Source organism: Homo sapiens, chromosome 6 (genome assembly GCF_000001405.40).
Source record: "Homo sapiens chromosome 6, GRCh38.p14 Primary Assembly".
Lineage (NCBI taxonomy): Eukaryota > Metazoa > Chordata > Mammalia > Primates > Hominidae > Homo > Homo sapiens.
In genome coordinates, this window is record NC_000006.12 from 7,875,873 (window position 1) to 7,897,044 (window position 21,172).

General features: G+C 45.8%; 2 protein-coding genes and 1 long non-coding RNA gene across 4 annotated transcripts in view, besides 1 other annotated feature; 1 reads left to right on the top strand and 2 right to left on the bottom strand.

Annotated features, from left to right (window-relative positions):
• BMP6 (bone morphogenetic protein 6) overlaps positions 1-5,856 on the top strand; it is a 155,630-nt gene extending 149,774 nt beyond the window's left edge. The window contains exons 5-7 of the mRNA NM_001718.6: positions 3,202-3,278; positions 4,119-4,229; positions 4,322-5,856. Of these exons, the coding sequence (NP_001709.1) occupies positions 3,202-3,278; positions 4,119-4,229; positions 4,322-4,471 (338 nt within the window). The 3' untranslated portion in view covers positions 4,472-5,856. The remainder of the gene's footprint in view (positions 1-3,201; positions 3,279-4,118; positions 4,230-4,321) is intronic.
• Positions 5,378-21,172, bottom strand: part of BLOC1S5-TXNDC5 (BLOC1S5-TXNDC5 readthrough (NMD candidate)) — a 183,165-nt gene continuing 167,370 nt past the window's right edge. The window contains exons 7-13 of the long non-coding RNA NR_037616.1: positions 19,234-19,330; positions 15,749-15,864; positions 13,623-13,709; positions 12,833-12,976; positions 10,089-10,171; positions 8,487-8,616; positions 5,378-7,394 (exon numbers count right to left, since the gene is read on the bottom strand). This is a non-coding gene — a long non-coding RNA (BLOC1S5-TXNDC5 readthrough (NMD candidate)). The remainder of the gene's footprint in view (positions 7,395-8,486; positions 8,617-10,088; positions 10,172-12,832; positions 12,977-13,622; positions 13,710-15,748; positions 15,865-19,233; positions 19,331-21,172) is intronic.
• TXNDC5 (thioredoxin domain containing 5) overlaps positions 5,645-21,172 on the bottom strand; it is a 29,272-nt gene continuing 13,744 nt past the window's right edge. For both annotated transcript variants that reach the window (NM_030810.5, NM_001145549.4), the window contains exons 4-10: positions 19,234-19,330; positions 15,749-15,864; positions 13,623-13,709; positions 12,833-12,976; positions 10,089-10,171; positions 8,487-8,616; positions 5,645-7,394 (exon numbers count right to left, since the gene is read on the bottom strand). In NM_030810.5, coding sequence (NP_110437.2) covers positions 7,272-7,394; positions 8,487-8,616; positions 10,089-10,171; positions 12,833-12,976; positions 13,623-13,709; positions 15,749-15,864; positions 19,234-19,330 — 780 coding nt within the window. In that variant the 3' untranslated portion in view covers positions 5,645-7,271. The remainder of the gene's footprint in view (positions 7,395-8,486; positions 8,617-10,088; positions 10,172-12,832; positions 12,977-13,622; positions 13,710-15,748; positions 15,865-19,233; positions 19,331-21,172) is intronic.
• Positions 6,194-7,393: an enhancer, noted in NCBI's record as "MED14-independent group 3 enhancer chr6:7882299-7883498 (GRCh37/hg19 assembly coordinates)". NCBI's record gives its function as "activates an origin of replication core promoter dependent on BRD2, BRD4, P300/CBP and CDK7 cofactors, and independent of MED14, by STARR-seq in HCT116 cells {active_cell/tissue: HCT116}" and the evidence as "EXISTENCE:reporter gene assay evidence [ECO:0000049][PMID:35650434]".

Here is a 21,172-nt window from a genome sequence, read left to right on the forward strand (position 1 = left end):
TGCTTTGGATCCCTCCAATGTGGTCATCACCCTAGACACTGGCTGCCGTACTACCCATTCTTGATGTCACCTTTGAGTCACTCCCTCAGGTTATACACTGCAGGGTGGAGACATTTGATTGGCTTTGATGAAGTCATGAGTCCGTACTTCAGATGCTAGGGGACAAAGAGGGGAGCTATCTGTCGTGGGAAATGGGGCTCTGAGTCCCACCTATCTAGGCATTCCCCCACATGCGAAGTGTTGCCAAAAGCTGGGTAGCAAAAGCAGTAAATATCCACTACAGCTGGGTATGGCATTCTAGGTTTGATGGCATCATTTTCATATTATTTAATTTTTTAATGTGTATTTTTGTTAAGTTTGCTATCCATTTTGTGTTTCTTAGTAATTTTCTTTTTATCTCTGGATTACTTTTAAGAATTTATGTGTTTGATATAATTTCACTACATGTGGCTAGATAAGAATTTATCTGATCCTCTTGGAACTCTTTGGGCCTTTTCAACTTAAAGATGTTTGCCTTTCTTTAGTTGTAGAAAATTCCCAGTCATTATGTCTTCAAATACTACTACTCCCTATTACTGCCTTCCGAAATTCCTATTAGAAATTTGTTGGACTTTTCATTCTCTCTTCCATGTCTCTTTACAAAGAGACAGTCATGTATTTTGGCCATTTGATTCTGTGCTATATTTGAAGAGATTTCAAATATACTGTTGAATTCTTTAATTCTGTCTTCAGTTATGTGTAATTTGATGATTATCTGTTTAATGTATAACTAATCTGTTAAGTAATCTGTTTAATCTGTTAATTAGACAACTAATGTTTAACCTGTTTAATCTGATCTTTAGTTATATCTAATCTGATTTCATTGTTATTTTCAATGGTTATGGTTTTTATAAAGTTCTATTTGACTCTTTTTACATCTACCTGTTCTTTTTTCATGTTTTTTCCCCATAATTTTGTTTTAAGGTTTCTAGTCCTTCTTTTCTTCCTTCCATTATTTTAGGTATTCTTCCTTTTTTTTCCTCTAGTTTTTGTTTTTAGTTTTGTTATTGTTTTGTTTTGTTTTGGTATTCTTCCTTTAGAGCTTAGTTCAGATGACTCTTATCCACAGTCTCTGGGGTCCTCTGGGTCTTCCCTTGCATTCCAGCCATCCTCTTGAGAGACTTTGTGTGGCTGATTCATTTTTGTTCAGGGGTTCTTTTCAGTAGGAAGTTTCTGTCTTATGGTGATAGTTGGTTGATTGTTTTTACTGAGAGAGTCCTTGTCCTGCATTGTGAAAATTTCCCTCCAGGGCTTCTCTGGGGTCCTTAAAGTTAAAGGCAGGGTGGTTCTGTTGGGTAACATAGGCAGGTGGAGAGGATAAATAAATTTAGAATTATAAACCACCTAAAAAAGTTGCCCCATCTCTTCTCCCAGTATAGGCCACTGGCCTGAGTCACTGTCTCTTTTCCTTAAAAAATCATGAAATCTGGTGGGGCATGGTGGCTCACACCTGTAATCTCAGCACTCTGGGAGGCTGAGATGGGCAGATCACTTAAGGTCAGTAGTTCGAGACCAGCCTGGCCAATGTGTTGAAACCCCATCTCTACTAAAAATACAAAAAATTAGCTGGGCATGGTGGCTCGCGCCTGTAGTCCCAGCTACTCGGGAGACTGAGGCAGGAGAATCGCTTGAACCCAGGAGGCAGAGGTTGCAGTGAGCCGAGCTCGTGCCATTGCACTTCAGTCTGGGTAACAGAGCAAGACTCTGTCTCAAAAGAAAAAAAAAAAAATTAATGAAATCTGCACGCTCTCTCCTGCTTCAGAGCCAGGAAGACTGGGAGTTAGAAGTTAGAAAATCAAGTTCAAACAGGCTTTCAACAATTAGGTGACTTACTGGCTTATGTAGTTGAAAAGGGAAGGGATAGCCTGCAAATGACCTAGGCTCTTACACCCACTGACATCCCACATTAGATGACCTTTCTCTAAAGCCTTCTCCTTGCCTTTTCTCTCTCCGTCGTTTCTCGAACTCTCCAACACAACTCCAGATGGATTAATCCTTTCGAATCACAGCGGGAAATGCTGCTCTGCAGCTCAGAACCCTGCAAAGGCTCACTTTGTGCCTCTGGTGGGAAGTCCGAAGCATTGTGGTTGGCAGCCTAGGCCATTCATTTCTCCAGCTTTATCTCATCCGACCCTGCTTGACACATCCTTAAATCCATTCCAGCAGAACTCCTCTCTCTTCCTCTCACTCCCACTCTGAACTGTCCCTTCTCTGAAGGGACATTTGCCTATGGCCCTTGCCTGTGTGATATTTGCCTATGGCCTTTGCCCGTAGCATCCATGTTCTGGTTTGTATTGGAGTTATTTGTGTGTCTGTTTTACACCACCCCTTCATTCACTGAGTTCTTGGAGGGAGGAAAGCCATGTCTGACTTACCGTCTATTGGCCGTGGTGCCAGGCAGAAGGCATGTCACGTAAGAGTCGCTCCAGTGGGCCTCAGTGAATTGGGGCACCCCCAGTGCTCTTGCTGGTGATTCAGTTAAGCCAGGCTAGTGGCCCCTGTGCTGCACAGGGTGGGTACATGCACTTCAGCAGAGTCTCCTGAGGAACCCCTGGCTTAGTGTTATTGCATCAGCACACAAGAGCTCAACCCTGGCAGTGAGGTGGGAGTACAGCCAGAGAGAGCATTGCCCCTGCGTGGTGTCTCCCTCTCCCCCGTTCCTGGGCCTCCTGGTTTGGCCCCACTCCACCATTACTCTTCCTTCAGGATACTCTTCTGGCCCGGCAGCTGTCTTGAAAGCCCCTGTGCAGTTTCAAAATGCTCCCTGTTTGGACTGCAGCAAATCCTGCCTAGTAGCGTTGTCTGATCATGTGAATGTGATGCCTTCCCGGTCTGGCGCCTCTGGGGTGTACTGGGCAAGTCGGCCCACGCCTCCATAGGCCTTGCATGCAGCAGGGCTCACAACACACCTCTGTTGCTTAAGGGTGTCCATTCAAGTCACCCTGCTCCCAGTACTGACCCCAGGGTAGACAAAACGGATTCCGTAAGACATTCAAGCCAACAGTCAGGAACCTGATGTAGCTGTTGGGTGACCATACTTGTATCTAGGAGGCTATCCTGAGCCTAGCACAGAGCCTGGCATGTGGTAAACTCTCTATGAAGGAATTAATGAGTTGATGGGTGCATCTTTTGATGGGTGCATCTTTTGATCTCCTCCAACAGATTACAACAGCAGTGAATTGAAAACAGCCTGCAGGAAGCATGAGCTGTATGTGAGTTTCCAAGACCTGGGATGGCAGGTGAGTTCTCTGGACACGGGGGATAAAGGTCCTTTCTCAGCAGTTTACTCTCATCTGAATGGTGGCAGCCATTACCAAACACCCAGAGCTTGATTGAAGGCTGAGCTGCTTCCTTCTGTGGAAGTCCTGAGGAGCCCTCCCAAATGCTCAGGCTCCTGGAGTAAGGCAGAGGAAGCTTAGTCTGTGGGGCACCAGGCGCTCCAACACCTTCCTAGGGTGCCTGAGCTCTGTGATCCCTCAAAAATCAATAGCCACATTTCCCAATATTCTCACCTCATCCTTTCAAAGCCCATAGGACATACATTTATTTGGGCATTTAAACAAATTTTAATTGAGACAGGGTTGGAAAAAAATTACCTAATGGTTAACATCTCCAATGGCTGCAAACCAGCTCACCAAACGATGCAGAAGAGCACACGTTTGCCTCGTACCTGAGAACCATCACTAGTTTGTAAGAAAGGCAGCAACTTTAATCACAGGTGGTGAGCGATAAAAGGTAGCTTCCATATGCAGGTGGCACTACTTCCGCAGGAGCACCGTGGGCTCCTGGAGAGGCTTGCTTGGGTCCAAGCACATATTGCTGGCAACCTACGTGCTTCCAGGTAGCAGCTGAGGCCCTGTGGGCCTCTGCAAGGAGCGAGGGTTCTGGGGTCAGATGGACCAGGTTCACTTCCCAGCATTGCCACTTGAATGTGAACTTGGACAAATTCCTAAGCCTTCCTGCGTCTGTATCCTTGCCTGTGCAATGTGAAAAATACCTTTTCACAGCATTCCTGAAAAGCACAAATAGTGTGAGAAGTGCATGCTCATCTTTTGTTGCTTCCTTTGCATGAAATTAAGGACTGGATCATTGCACCCAAGGGCTATGCTGCCAATTACTGTGATGGAGAATGCTCCTTCCCACTCAACGCACACATGAATGCAACCAACCACGCGATTGTGCAGACCTTGGTGAGCTCTCGGAGACTTTGTTTTGTAAGTGGGAGTAAGCCAAGACCAGGTGTCATTTCTAAGGTACCTTCTCCCCTTCTGTTTTGGAACAGGTTCACCTTATGAACCCCGAGTATGTCCCCAAACCGTGCTGTGCGCCAACTAAGCTAAATGCCATCTCGGTTCTTTACTTTGATGACAACTCCAATGTCATTCTGAAAAAATACAGGAATATGGTTGTAAGAGCTTGTGGATGCCACTAACTCGAAACCAGATGCTGGGGACACACATTCTGCCTTGGATTCCTAGATTACATCTGCCTTAAAAAAACACGGAAGCACAGTTGGAGGTGGGACGATGAGACTTTGAAACTATCTCATGCCAGTGCCTTATTACCCAGGAAGATTTTAAAGGACCTCATTAATAATTTGCTCACTTGGTAAATGACGTGAGTAGTTGTTGGTCTGTAGCAAGCTGAGTTTGGATGTCTGTAGCATAAGGTCTGGTAACTGCAGAAACATAACCGTGAAGCTCTTCCTACCCTCCTCCCCCAAAAACCCACCAAAATTAGTTTTAGCTGTAGATCAAGCTATTTGGGGTGTTTGTTAGTAAATAGGGAAAATAATCTCAAAGGAGTTAAATGTATTCTTGGCTAAAGGATCAGCTGGTTCAGTACTGTCTATCAAAGGTAGATTTTACAGAGAACAGAAATCGGGGAAGTGGGGGGAACGCCTCTGTTCAGTTCATTCCCAGAAGTCCACAGGACGCACAGCCCAGGCCACAGCCAGGGCTCCACGGGGCGCCCTTGTCTCAGTCATTGCTGTTGTATGTTCGTGCTGGAGTTTTGTTGGTGTGAAAATACACTTATTTCAGCCAAAACATACCATTTCTACACCTCAATCCTCCATTTGCTGTACTCTTTGCTAGTACCAAAAGTAGACTGATTACACTGAGGTGAGGCTACAAGGGGTGTGTAACCGTGTAACACGTGAAGGCAATGCTCACCTCTTCTTTACCAGAACGGTTCTTTGACCAGCACATTAACTTCTGGACTGCCGGCTCTAGTACCTTTTCAGTAAAGTGGTTCTCTGCCTTTTTACTATACAGCATACCACGCCACAGGGTTAGAACCAACGAAGAAAATAAAATGAGGGTGCCCAGCTTATAAGAATGGTGTTAGGGGGATGAGCATGCTGTTTATGAACGGAAATCATGATTTCCCTTGTAGAAAGTGAGGCTCAGATTAAATTTTAGAATATTTTCTAAATGTCTTTTTCACAATCATGTACTGGGAAGGCAATTTCATACTAAACTGATTAAATAATACATTTATAATCTACAACTGTTTGCACTTACAGCTTTTTTTGTAAATATAAACTATAATTTATTGTCTATTTTATATCTGTTTTGCTGTAACATTGAAGGAAAGACCAGACTTTTAAAAAAAAAGAGTTTATTTAGAAAGTATCATAGTGTAAACAAACAAATTGTACCACTTTGATTTTCTTGGAATACAAGACTCGTGATGCAAAGCTGAAGTTGTGTGTACAAGACTCTTGACAGTTGTGCTTCTCTAGGAGGTTGGGTTTTTTTAAAAAAAGAATTATCTGTGAACCATACGTGATTAATAAAGATTTCCTTTAAGGCAGAGGCTGGTCGAGATGCTGCTGTTATCTTCTGCCTCAGACAGACAGTATAAGTGGTCTTGTTTCTAAGATTCCTACCACCAGTTACTTTGGGCCAAGTATCCACATCCCCTTGCGTATGGGAGGTGGGTGAAGAGTGTTGGATGCAAAGTGGTTATTATGGGAAGTAGCTCGATGGTAAAAGGACAAACACCTATCTATCTTAGAGCTTAAGCCTGTATGTGCTTATTCCCAAGGGAGATAGAGGTGTTTAATCACAAGGACAGCATGAGTTAGAGGACACTGGCATCAACAGCTGCCACAGCCGTGCACACCAGGGCCAGAGCAGCCCACTGACATCTGTCTTTGGTCTTGAGATCAAATGCATCCCATTCTTCATACATTAGAAGGTCGACCTCCTTGAAGCAGACCAAGTATAGCAAGCCTCTAAAAGGACTACTGAGAAACAGAATCAGAAACTCTAGAACTCTAGTTAGGGCCCTTCAGCAGGGCTGCAGAGCCTCCCTGGATACCCAGGCCTGGGAAAGCCTGTCTGGTCTTGTCACCCCAGGTGACAAATACAACTGGAATCTTTCAATGAGTTAATGAGATACTGAGAATGAGCCTCGTGGAATTTTCCATGCCTACCCTTTCTAAGGAAGACATCCAACAGTTCATGTGGGCTCTGGCTTCGTGTTAACATGAGGAACTAAAGACATGTTTCACCCCGTGAGAAACAGAAGGATCCCCTGAACAGTAACTGATTTGACAAGTATCGACACATAAAGTTATGGCATCAGCATTCTCTTACTCAGGCACGGTCAGAAGTAACGCTGCTTTCATCACGGCTAACCTCTCACACTGAGAGAAGTATTCACAGCAACAGAAGCTCCAGCAGCGGCCGTGAAGGTATCTTCCAGAGGTGTGGGTTTTTGCATTTCAATCTGCTCCATGCTACGGACCAACACAGTATTGAGTCAACTGTGACCTTAAGATCAGAGGAACGTCAATACTGCCACAAGGCCACCTTTCCAGAACTCGTGGGCAGGTAAACTATGCTTTGGATGTGCTTTCTTTCACCAAAATCACTCAACTCAGGAGCCACAAATAGTCCAGCAATTTCATTTCCCTCAACGCTATTTTAGTCTCAAAGGAAACCATGTAAATTTCATCAAGAGAAGGTCAAAGGGGATATATCGCCACTGAAAATGTTTACACAGTGACCATGAGTTACACATTTACTTAGAGAAACTTAACTTAATAAAGAATCTGTAGAGTGTGTTGGCTTGGAAAACACACACACAAAGAAGATACCTCACGCTTAGTATGTTCTGCTTTCTGAACAGCCACCACTGGGAACCCAGTGGCCTCTGTGGGACTGAACTCCTAAACGCAGGGTGCGGGAGCTGGGCAGGAGAGGTGACCTCCAACTGTGTTCCTAAAGTTCGTCTTTCGCTTGGCTCAGGACAAAGCGGTGTAACGAGTCAAGGTCTCTGCCTCCACTGTGCTCACTGACTTTCTTCCCTCCTCGGAAAAGCAATAACGTGGGGTAGCCTCGTACCTTAAAACAAAAAAGAAAAAAGTTTGCAAACCAGCGGTCCAGATCACATGCAAATTGCTTCCTAAATAAAACCAGATACACTCCTACCGTTGTGGCTGGAAAAATTCTGTGGCTAATTTTTAAAGGTGTATATTCCATTAAAACAGGAGCAGACTACTGTTTAGAAAGCACAGCCGTGGGGCTGTGTGTTCACTTCTGAATTCAAAATGACATCATTAAAGATCAGCCTCAAAGGAACGACTTTACCCTAAAGCAGACGCTTTCAGTCTTTACTGTGCACACGATCACCTGCGGATCTGCTGAAGGTGCAGATTTGGATTGAGCAGGCCTGGGAGTCTGCATTTCCAATGACCTCCCTGGCGATGCCCTGGTGGTCTGCAGACCAGACCATGAGAGCAAGATCCTCTTGAGGATACATGTTTCAGTGGCAACTCGTTTCTAAGAATTTTAGGGCACAAAAAACAACTGGTATCTTTTAATGATAAGGAAACTATGTCTGGGTTACGTCTATTCTCCATCTAAAGGGCTCCAAAAGTGTCTGAATAACAAAGAAGAAAAAAAATGACAAATCTTCCAGGCCATCAGACTGTGCTAACAGCTTGGAATGAAGGCAGTAGTTAACCCAAGCACAGGACCGACTTGCTGGCATGGCCCTTTCAGAAAGGAGGTTATGTTGAAATGATTCTTAGATTCAGCCACTGCATTTTATAATGCTGGCTTATGTGTGAAAAATGAGCGACTCGGGTATTTATGGCAAAGGCTACAGACCACTGGTCAATCATCAAGAGTCGCGGTGTGGGAAGCCCCACAGTCTATGGCGTGGGGTCTGTTACTTCACGGCCTTGTTACTCAGACAGCAAGGCCTGAAAACCTGCACTGAAACATGGATACTAACTACAAAGCGGGCGAAGAAGAATGCCTTCCCTTTGAGAGAGGATCTCTTTTGCTTCTCCAAACAAACAACTCAAAGGGACATAAAAACCACATTGTTGAGAAGATGAGAGCAGAGTGAGTTATCGTGGTTGAGGCACAGTTCCCTTGGGATCTGCCCCCATACTGAGAGCTCCCATAAGCATCCATCCAAGTACCCACCGAATACTTGCTGCAGATATTCCGTTCAGCAGTGCAGTCTACTTCGGCGATCTTGACCCCCGCCAGACCAGGGAATTCCTTTTTAGAGAGTTCCTCCCAAGTAGGAGCCAGAGTCTTACAATGACCACACCTAAGACGAGAAAAATGGCAGCTTCGTTGAAATCCTGGGTCGAGATCATTCACCTACACTCTGCTGCCAAGACAAGCTCTGTTTCTTCTGTATGGGACAGTCAACAATTGCCTAGAAATTTGTAAAATACCAAATTCTCCCACTGGGTGCACATTAACTCTTCCTCCTCCTATCCCAAATGAAGAACCCAAAAGTTGATCCAAGGTAGACTTTCAGATAATGTGACAGAAGCAAGCCAGTCTCAAAACAAGTTGAGATTCTGAGACCATTTCCATGCCATGGTGAACTGTGCTAACTGGTTTATGAAAGCACAGGAGCAGAGGAACAGGGAACAGGGCAGATGCCACACAATTTCTAAAAGGTCACTTGAATGCCAAAGACATTTTAGATTTGATTGCTTATGGTCTCACAATTTCAAAACCATTTTAAGGCCTCCTTGGTACTTCAGCGATGTGGGGTGAGCATCAAGGCCATGATTAAGTTTGGTTCAAACCCTCCCTTCTACCCGACTCTGTTCCCTTGTCTCTTCTGACCCCCTCCTGCCGTATGGATGGCTCCCCTTCAGCCAAAGGGGATCCTCCTTTTTGATACTTGATCTGTGGAGCTTTAGGTTTTTAAATGTTGCAAATGATTTGAAAGGCATTGCTATGGTTCGTTCAAGTCCTGTGCTTATTAACTTTTTACCCCTATGGTTAGTTTCTCAGGAACATGTGGAGTGTAACAAACAAGAAAAGTGACGCCTTTATCATGTTTAGATAAACAATCTACTGTTGTCCTAACACTCTGCTTTTCCAAATGGATTGTTTTATTTGTGAAGACAAAAAGTTACTCCCATTTTTCAGCTGAGGGAACTGGGGTTCAAAGGAATTAAAGGACATCCAAGTTTACTATACAGTCATTCACGGTAAGTCTTAGAACCAAGGTTGTCTGGATCTCACACTACCTGCAATCCATTTCTGCTCTGGTCTCCAAGACCACGTGGCATGCAGGTTCAGGAAACTGCGTAGCATACTGAATGGCTCTAACAGACTCTACTGGATTTCTCTACAAAAGAAATCCGAGTACTTAAAAGAACCGAGGAGCAAAGCTACATCATGACACTCATTGTTTAGCCAAAAAGAAAAGCCATCTATTTGGAAAAGTGCAGATACCACAAAACTGAATATGGCCATCATAATTTGCCTCCATTTTTATGTTTTCTCCAAAGTTGATATAACTTTAGCCTCATTCTCCATATATAATCAAAGTTGATATAACTGTAGCCTCATTCTCCATATATAATTAAGGCCATTGAAGTTTAAAATATTTGAATATAGGAGCATGATAACGGTTCCTTATTTCCTACAACATGACCTACATATAAATGTAACATGTGCCCAACATTGAGTCTGGAGGGGTGGCAGATGAGCTGAAAAACATGATGTGACTTAGTACACATGGACAAAGTAGTTTCTAATTAAACAGCCACTTACCATGGAGCATAAAACTTGATGAAGGTTATTCCTTCTGCAATGGTGTCATCGAAGTTATTTTCAGTGAGTGCCAACACAGTGCCCTTCAAGGGAGGAAAAAGCCACAGTTCAAGTACATCCCTTAAAGTTGAGCAGGGCCATGCTTTGGGATTGCAGATACACGAATCAGTAATTTTTTAAAAATGCAGTTACGTAGGCTCCAAGGTCACACAGAAATACCTACACAATCTGCATTTCATAGGCTACACACAAAGGGAGGCTGGCAGCCTCTGAAGGGCAGAGAGATCAATGCAAGTCCCTGGGTCCCAAGCCTGGGAGATGTGGTGAGGAGGTGGCTGGACACTGTACAGGGGATGAAGGTGGGGAGGGGGACTGTCTTTTGGGGATGAGGCAGGTTGAAAACTCTCCAGGGCGCTGTGGTGTGGACCAGGCAGCCCTGGGTGTCTGACACTTGAGTCTGCACCTCTAAGCCTGGAGTCTCCAGGATACCCACTGAAGTCTCATCCTCAGCCGCTTTTCTCACTGGCCACCCTATTCTCCTAGCACCCTTTGTGACATCCTCTCTATGCAACAGAAAGAACCTAGTTACAATAGCAAAGGCAATGATACCTGTTTTACATTGAACATAAAAATGGAAAGCAGCCTGTTCTAAGTCAATGTGAAAAACGCTGATGGAAGCTCTGGCTGGAGAATTTAAGGGAAAGGTGCTACATGGTAGTCTGCTTTAAAGCCATTCTCCCTTGACAGTTCTTTACAGAATGACGTCTATGTGTTTCTCCAAAAATGGATCTGCGATTCTCTCCTGAGAGCAGGAATGGGATGATTTATCACGTGGCTAAGTGTACCAGGGCTGCTCCATTTGAGTCTGGCATCGAGTAACATGTCAGTGACGGAGGCCAAGGGGGCCACTGTGGAACACTACCATCTTTATGTCCAGAAACATGACGCCACACGCACTGAAAAGACCCACTTCATGGTGGAAAACTGCATTATAAATAGAAATGGTGCTGCGATGAAAACATCCGTGGTATATAATTATACTCAATTTGGGATGACCTTTGTAACCACCATGACACATACACTCCTCTAACATAAGTGGTCCTGACAACTACAAAATCAGCTGTTTACTTCTTCAACCAAAACGTCAACTTTTAAACAACACTCAGGCCATCCCCGACCTACAAGAGCCCAACTAGGGACAGGGTTGTAGGGGTGAGGAGGCCTGGTGTGGCCCCACCAGGGAGGAGGGGTTGGTGGCCCCACTGGTTTTTCCAAATCCAAACTCCTGGCCTTCAGGCATGACTTCTACCTGAAGAGGATGACACGGGCACTCTCGTCCAGTGCAGACCTCCTGCCGCAGCCCCAGGCTCATGGTTGGAACTGCCACTGGACACTGCCACCTACACAGCCGAAAGCCTTGAAGATCAACACCTTGAAAACCAAGCTCATCCCTTTCCTCGAGCTCTGGCCCCGCCCCTGTGCTGGGTACCATCCTCCACCAGATATGCGGGAATCAGACTCGCCTCGGACCCTCCCTCCCTCTCCGCGCTGCACAGCGGCTGGACTCCTTATGCTGGCTTTCTCCTCCTCGCCATCGCACAGTCACGGCTGCAGCATGAGGGAACGCATCATCTTTAAAGGCCTAATAGAGCAGCTTCCCACCTCCAGCACACGTGCATGCCGGTCATTTTCCTACAACTCCAATCTGCACAGAGCCTCCATGGGCTCCCTGTCAATATGGGATACAGTTCCTAATCCTTGGCCAGCTGCCCACAGACTCTCAACTCCAGCTCCTCTCTCACTCTCAGGGATCCTACACCACACCCTGACCTGTCTCCCACTGTGTTCCCCCAGCCCCAGCTCTGGCCCTGCAGAAATGCCGGCTGATTCTCGGGTTGTGCCTCTCCTGGTGCAGCCCCTCAGTGGCAGCCCTGCCCAGCCTATCTGTCCAGCACAGATCCCGTCAATCAGCTCCTTAGGGACACTTCTTGCCCATTTGCCCCCACTTCTCTCTAGCAGCCAAGCCCTGCACACATTTCTGCCCCAGCCCCCTGCCATTGGCTTGTGTGTCTTCTCACCATTTGCCTCAGAGACCTGTATGCTTCAGAGGCAGGAAACCGGTCTTATTTTTATTCCCTGGTGGCCTAGAACAGTGCCTGTGACATAACAAGGGCTTCATAAAGCAGAACAAATGAATCTGAAACCTCCTGCTACCTGAGTGAAGGAAGGAAGCCCCTCAGTGCATCAGGACTGCCTAGGCAGGTTACAGCTACAGTCACTGGCCTGATCGCTGCGGATGCCCTCTTGGCTACAGGTCTTCTAGGGGCCTTTACAACGGGTAAAGGAAAATGCCCGGAGCAAGGTCAGGAATAGAATCAGGGCCCCGGGGCCAGCAGTCGAGATTTCATAGCAGAAACATGCCCAGCAGAGTCATTCTTTAAAATGAATGAAGCGGAAAGGAAGGATTCTCTAGAGATTTTTGACACCAAATATTGTCTTGGGATTTGTCTCACATCCATTTCATGTTTTCAAAAGGAAAGCTTTTGTTTGCATTCGCCCCTGAAAGCATGTGAAAGTCGATGAAAAATACGTGTTGAAAACGCAACTGGAGCCAACCATCAGATGACTGTGTCCCCAAACTGTCATTTTGTCCAAAGCATTTGAGGAGGCCTCTGAGGGTGGGGAGGTGGGGGGCCGGGGGCCACGGGCCACTTATGGGGATCCCGACTCCAGCAGGCACCCACCTTGTCAGCCTCGGGCTCAGCTGCCAGCACCGGGGCCTCTGAGGGCGTGACGGTCTCCGTCGCTCCAGTCTCTGTGCGCTGCAGCTGCGACTCCACGTACTCCCTCAGTGACTCCAAATCCCGCTTTCCCTTGTACTGATCCACCTGGCCAAGACACGGGCACGCGGCTGAGTGAGTCCACTGAGGTGTTCTGAATCACTTAAGCCTTCCTGCAACCCCTGCTTGCCCGGGTCAGAGCTCCCAGATGTCTTAGCGGTGGTGCAAAGTCTGCATGTTCATATTTAGACGGGAATGTAGAGAGGATAACTGAATGCCTCGGCTTTGGTGAGAGAACTGTACAGGCCCCTCTTCCCTCCACGGGGTTACACATCACAGAAGTCTGGGGCAGAGGCCTGCCAGCAAGCCGTTGTGCTGATGGGGAACTCTGAGCTGCTGACCATCGGCCAGGGAAGGAGGGAGGGAGGCAGGCAGAACCGGACCAAGTGCAAGCCTTAGCTCTGTTCAAAGGCCTGAAGGTTTGTGTTTACAACCAGAGCACAGTTACCCTGTGACTGTAAGATGTGGGTTATTCTAGTGATAACCTGGGCCACTGAAATGTTTCAAGGTTCATCTCCACAACCCAAATCTTATCAATTAAGAGAAAGACGTTTGTTTCATTATACACATTTCTCCAAACCAGTGCCCTAACAATCAAGATTGGCAATTCACTGTGCCCATTAAACCACTCAGTAGCTCAGCCTGATGGGGTTAAGAGATGAAGAATTCTCAGTACTAAGAAGTGCAGACGTACCTTTTTCCCATCTCGGAACCAGAGAAGAGTGGGATAGCCACGAACCTGGTTTCCGGAGCAGAGTTCATAGTGCTGTGTACAATCAACCTGAGAATAAAAGCAGATCAACTTCCCAGTCAGTTTCTTCATGAACCTTCTTGCTAATGGGGCTACTGGACACTTTGTACGTTACAAATATTCTTTTCAAAATCCACATTCTGTAGCAACTCTGCCAGCAAGGTGCAGTTTTTGAAGAGAATGTTCCTGAAAGCTATGCTAAAACATACCTGAGCTAAAAGGAGTAAAGGAAAGACTTTAGAGGCAAGATTTATTGTATTAATAGCTCAGTTAAACATGCCGGTTTTTAGGAAGCAACATTTTAACTCGAGCAAGTAAAGTCAGCACCTGGTAGCTTGAGTCAGGGCCCTGGCTTGACATTTGGTGGTGGTGGGAGGGGGGTTAGCCTGGCTGTCGGTGACTGGGACCCAGACCAGTTCACATGCCAGCTTAGAATTTACTCTCATGCTGAAGCTTAGAGGGTTTTAAAATCAACAGGGAGCAAGAAGTGAATTTTAAACAGGAGTAGTTGGTATATAATAAAGGTAAGACTGCAAAGATGTCAAGATTATAATCCGTCCTTAATTTTATAAACTTAATTTACCAACAAGCACAGCTCTTCAAGCTTTTTCTTTCATTTAAATCTCATAAAGCTGCTGCTTGCCCAACATTTTCATGAAACATCTTGTTCTAAGTCATTGCTTTCTTTTTTATTTTCTACCAGCACTAAAATAGGCAGGACTAAGTTGTTATTCACTATGTCAGCAAACGGGGGTAAAAATACTATTTCAACACCTAAGACCCGTCAGAGAGCAGCTAAGGTGCGGAACTGAAGTACAAGAGGCCTCAGCCCAAGGTCGGGAGAGGACAAGCATTTTTAAGGGTCCAGTGTAACCCAGCCACATGTGCCAGGGATGAAGGGCTTCAGCGTGGTCACCTGGGCTTGTGTCTGCTCACGCCTAGGTCTGCTAGGATCCTCTATGGATATAAACCTAAAAGAATCTCCCATAAAATTTCATACAATAATTAAGTAAGGATACAAGGAATGGGGTAAGACAGTAGACAAGATTATTTTATAATTACTTCCCCGAAATGTTCAATAAATATAAACTGATAATAACATGTATAATTAGTATATATTATCGTAAGCGTTTAAGAGGCAACAGTGAAATATCCATTTAACTGACAACAAAAGTGATTACAATTTACCAAGCATCTGCCCCATGCTAAGCATCACACTAAGCAGTGTACTTTCATCTGCCCAGACACCACACAGTAGATCTTAGCTCAGTTTTGCAAAGGGGGAGACCGAGGCGTGGAGAGGTTTTTCCCAAGGTCAGCCAGCCAGGTCTACCCAACCCCCAAGTTTATGCTTTTGACCATCTCACCATCCCAAGTAGATCATCCTGTTAACCATCATTCAGTCCTAGACACGCAGCATTACTTTTGGATACAAATCAGCCCCATGGCAAGGTAGAAAAATGAGATTTTTAAGAAAGGAAATCTATGCATGGTGTCTGGTGGGTGCTGGAAAGTGTAGAAGAATAAAAGTGATGTCCCTGGAGCTACACTGGATATTTCCAGAAAATCCAGTTACACAGAAGTTGTCAGACACCACTCTTGGCTTCTCTGTATAAAGTAGGAAATGCTGGAAAGAATCCCAGGCACAGTGCAAACTGAGGGAGGGTCTTCTGCGTGCTTGGGGGAGCACAGAGCCAGGGTCCTTTTAGAGAGAGCTCTTGGGTGAGGTCGAACGTGGACGGTCTCCAAGTTCGTCCAGTGAACATTCTACAAGGCTCTACCCCATCTCTTTGCAGAACGGGCTCTGGGGCTGCCAATTCAGATTTGGCCATCTCTTCAAAATAAACAAAGCAGCCGAGGCCATAATTTATCTCTAGGCTGTGGAAAAGCCAGCAAAACTCAAAATCAGACTGCCATCTGTGAAGGTGAAATGAATTATCAAGTGGCACACTAAATGGAATTAATAAATCAAGTTTGCGACTTTGCACACGGAATGAATAATGGGCCACTCTGCTAATTAATCCAGCCCAAAGCAGTCCATTTCCAGTTTAATAAGGGCTTTCACTCACCTTGCCAATCTTGACAGTTTCGGAATGTTCAAGGCCCAGAGCCAGCTGCTCCCAGGTTGGAGCCAGGGCTTTGCAGTGACCACACCACGGAGCGAAGAACTTGATAAAGTGGTCGCCTGGAGTGGAGAGCCAAGGCAGAGACGGGGGAAAGAGGAACTGTAATTTATGTCAGACCTCACTAGAGAGTTAATTGAAGAATCAGATCTTTGTCCTGCTTAGCAAATCTTAGTTCGGCATGAGCACTTTAATTGGTACAAAGGGACTCCATCAAATGTGTTTCTGTTCATGACTTCATAACAATACTCAAAACCAAATTTGTCATCTTTGATGGACAATCAGCAATCAACTCATTATTTGGAAAACTGTAATAAAAGGAAAGAATCAGGCATTTCTCCCACCTCTCCTATATGCACTGTACCGCTGAATAACCAGGTGATAAATGAGGGTGAGTTTCTCTTGGTTAAAAAATGAAGGGACGCTTGAATGAGCCTCGGCACTTGGCAGCCCTAAGGAATGGACGGACCCAGGCTCTGCCTGTCATGGTCGACCACATCCCAAAGAGAGACAACTGGACGTTCTGTGCCCCCACCAGCTATGAGGTCTTCTTGTGCCCCCAAAAAACATCACACTGAAACTGATTTTGTCCCCAGACCCAACTACCAATTTCCAGGAAACAGAGAAATCAGGGAAACATGTAGACCACACTACGGGGACACAATTAGCAAAGTCTGGACCACGGGGAGCTCTACAGGTCAAACCACCTATGTCTTCAGCAAGAAAGATAAAGAGATGTCTGGAGAACATGCAGGTTAAAAGAGCCTTAAAAGATATATAAACACATACACATATAGAACTATAGTGCTCAGGAATGTGCACTTCAGTGCACATAAAGGAGTTGATATGGTTTGGCTGTGTCCCCACCCAAATCTCATCTTGAATTCCCACATGTCGTGGGAGGGACCAGGTAGGAGGTAACTGAGTCACGGGGACAGGTCTTTCCCATGCTGGTCTCGTGATAGTGAATAAGTCTCATGAGATCTGATGGTTTTAAAAACGGGAGTTTCCCTACACAAGCTCTTTTTGCCTGCTGATATCCATATAAGATGTGACTTGCTCCTCCTTGCCTTCCACCATGATTGTGAGGCTTCGCCAGCCACGTGGAACTGTGAGTTCTCCATTAAACCTCTTTCCTTTGTAAATTGCCCAGTCTCGGGTGTGTATTCATCAGCAGTGAAAACGGACTAATACAAGTGGTTTCCACAAATGTCAGGCAAGTGCCTTCTTGGAGAAGGGAGGGCGGGCTGTGCCCTGCATGGGACACGGGAAGCTGGCAGTTTTATTTCTTGAACTGGACAGTAGTTACAGTGTGACCACGCTATAAAAATTCATTAAGCCCTACATTTGTTTTCTCGATCTGTATTATATTTTATCATAAAAAAAAGTTTAAAAAATGAAACATCACCCCCTTGGCTACGGGGAAAAAAACAAACAAACCCTCACAGCATCATTATTTGGACACAGAAGGTGTTTAGCTGTTCTACCCTGACATTGGGCTGATACCAAACTGAAAGCAGGCTGTGGCCGGGGAGAGAACTAACCAGTGGCATGTGGCCTGGCGTCTGAGCAGGACTCTGCCACACTAAGGCTCACAGCTACTGTCTCATCAGCACAGCAACAATGCACTTGAAGAAAATGGTGAAAAACTTCCTTTAAAAGTTAACAACTTCCATTAAAAAATGTGCAAAGCTGAAACCATGTGCAGGTGCACAGTAGATCCTGCACTGTAAGGTGGAGACAGGCTCTCTGGGAACCTAATCAGAGTACTGATGGGAAGCCAGCAAGGGCAGGAAGCCACCATGGTACCTACACGACACAGCTGTGTGGCAGTGACCCACTTAGGGAGGCGCTGGCTAGGCCTGCCGGAGTCGGTCTGTCCTGCCGGAGTCGGTCCGTAACAGGTGATTTGGGAAACACACCCTGCTCAGAGCCCAAGACAATCCCAGCTGAAAATGCATTCCCGTAGCGGAAAGCATGCTAGAGTTCTGCCGTCAGGGCGCTGGTATGGATGAAATAACTTTTAGCAAAAGTGGGAAAAGGCTGAAGGCCTCACGATAAGTTACTGTGGACAGTAAGTGTGGTGGGGGAGGGGCTCTGACTCCCAGCAGGCACAAGTCACAAGGCCAGAGGCAATCCAAGCCATTTCTCACGTTTCCAACCCAGTCTTCTAAGGGGATTTCTCTCCATGGTAGCATTTGGTAATGGGAGCCGGCCAGGAAGCCAAAATTGCTTTCAAGTCATTCGGTGTTGGGCCAAGTTTTCTGAAACACATCTATGTGTGAATAAAGGGAGACTTATGTATTCACACTGGAAATTTTATGGGGATCATTCTGATATTAGGAGACCATTTGCAAAAAATGGGATGTGGTATAGAAAGATCTTTTAAGTGTAAAGAGTAACTAATTTGATTCATGTTATAACGGTGTCATTAAATTCTGGGTTTTGTTTGGTTGTTTTCTGAGACAGGATCTCACTCTGTCACCCAGGCTGGAGTACAGTGGCATGATCACAGCTCACTGCAGCCTTGACCTTCCAGGCTCAAGTGATCTTCCCACCTCAGCTTCAGGAGTGCGCTTACCATACCCAGCCTTTTTTTTTTTTTTAATCTTCTGTAGAGACAAGGTCTTGCTTAGGCTGATCTCGAACTCCTGGGCTCAAGTAGTCATCCCACCTTGTTCTCCCCAAGTGCTGGGATGATAGGCATGAGCCACTGTGCCCAATCTAAATTCTGTTTAGACAGAGAGAAGCTTTTGTTTCTGCCTGAGGTCATTAAGCATATGATTATCATTAATACACAGGCATACTTCCGAGATACTGTGGGTTTGGTTCCAGACCACTGCAATAAAGATAATATCACAATAAAACAAGTCACACAAATTTTTTGGTTCCCTAGTGAATATCAAAGTTATGTTTACACTATAGTCTATGAAATGTGCTACAGCATTACTTCTTTAAAAACAATGTACCTTAATTAAAAAATATTTTATTGCTAAAAAGATGCTGACAGAGGGATACAAAGTAAGCACAAGCTGCTGGAAAAACCGCTAGACCTGCCAGATGCTGGGCTGCCAAAATCCTCAATCCGTAAAAAAATGCAGTATCTCCAAAGTGCAATAAAGTAAAGAGCAATCAAGCGAGGTGAGTCTGTCAATAAACACTCTTAGCCAAGGATGCACTGTCCAGCTAGTGTGCGGGTCACGTGTGCTTAGCATTAGACTCGGCGTTTCTATAAGGGCACAGACAAAAGGAGAACTCATGTTTTAGAGGAGGTGCACTGAACAACGGTCCCAACAGCTCCTCTAGAGTGACCCTTTGTCAGTGCCACTGATGCTGCTATCTAAGAGCCCTTGAGTAGCAGGAAGGAAAAGCCCAGCACGCCAAGGAATAATAGTGATTCTCTGAAGCTGGCATCAGGACGTCCCCCTTACCTTGTGCAACGTGCAGCTCAAAGTTGCTTGCTGAGAGCTCATACAGCCCTTGCTTGAGCTCGGGGGCACTGGGCGGTTCCACTTCCGGCTCTGGTGTCTAACAGGAGGAAATAAAACAGTCATGGGTGTGTCAGTGGAGACACAGGGAAACCATCCAGGAGGTGACTGTGTCTGTGGGGAACCGCCTGCAGATGCCTCCCTCACCCAACAACCTGGAACCCTTGTACGATGCTGCTGTGCTGAGTGAGGCCAGGTCAGGAACTGATCTCGTCAAGCCCTCTGGAAGCTTCAGCAAAAAGCCCCCTCGTCAGCCTCACCCTCAGTGAAAGCTCTAGGTCTGAGTCTCCAGGGCAGCCAAGTGATAGCTGTCCCTACCCCAAAACCCAACCAAACAAAGCAGACAATGCAAAGGACAGTCTTACCCTATACCCTGTCCTCTTCTTTGAAACGTACTTGGATACTTCACAAAGAATACAAAATACAACGCCCAATGGACGTATTCTGAAGGGGTCAGCACTTGCAGACACCAGAGTGCCCAGCGCAGTGGCTCGTGCCTGTAACCCTAGCATTTTGGGAGGCTGAGGCAAGAGGACTGCTTGAGCCCAGCAGTTCAAGACCAGCCTAGGTGACAGCCTAGCATTTTGGGAGGCTGAGGCAAGAGGACTGCTTGAGCCCAGCAGTTCAAGACCAGCCTAGGCAACAGAGTGAGACCCCATCGCTACAAAAAAAAAATTTTATTTACCTGAGCATGGTGACGTGCGCCTGTGGTCCCAGCTACTTGGGAGGCTGAGGTGGGAGGATCACTTGATCCCAGGGGGTGGAGGCTGCAGTGAGCTGAGAACATGCCACTGCACTCCTGCCTGGGCAACAGAGTGAGACTCTTCCTCAAAAAACACACAAACAGACACGAGGGTAGCAAAATGGACAAAGCTGAGAATGAGAAACTCAGGGACCAGGAAGGCCTGGTTATCCTTACTTTACACAAATGACAGGGAAAACTGTGAGGAAGACACAACTGTGGAAGACTGATCAGAGAGAAAAGGAGGTGATGAGAAGGAAAATGCAGGTGAATGAAAGGCAACAGAGAGAAAACCATGGCATGAACATAAGCTGCACCTTCAAGAAAGAATGTAATTCATATGACTAAGTCTCATACAGAAAGAGGGGGAAAGGGGCTTTTCAAAAGATGCTTCTGCCAGGACCCAAGCAGACAGCAATGTGTGCAGCTGTCTAGTCACAATCCTACATTTCTCAACTTTTCAGACCAGGTACAGCTGTGGCTTCCAACCAAAGTAACCAGAAATGAGGGAAAGATAATGGAATCAGTGTTCTGCTGCAGACACATTAAGTGTATATTACTCAGCTTTTATCTGGGGGTTCATATTCCTATTAAAAAGAATATCCAAGCTAAGTTGTTAAAGGCTTTAAAGGTGCTGACAGTTCAAAGCTGTGCAGGGCTGGAATCATAAAGAACCACAAAGTTTCCCTTCTGCTGCCAGCGCGTCAAGACTTTCAAAGTGCTAAATACCCACACAAAACAATGCCCAAGGGAAGAATGGCTAAGTGAACAGTCAATGGGTGCACATAAGGTGAAATAAAATACCGTGTGCCACTCTCCATGAGATGTTCAAGGGCCTTTCAGTATGAAGTGTTCATTTATGGCACATGCGGGGCCTCTAGTTGCTTCCTGGGTTCCTGGCAGACTCCAGAGCAGTCCCCCGGCATGGGAACACCACAGTGCATCCCAGAAACAGGTCACGTCTTGCCCTACAGTGGCAGCATAAGCTGATATGGTGCTTAAGAAACCTGGCTATATTCATCAAGAGCCATAAAAATGATCTTTTTTTTTATTCTTGGCCTTATAATTTTATGTCTGGGAATACTATATTCTAAAAATATCACTCAAAAGAAGGGGGGGTGGAAAGTCCTTTACAAAGAT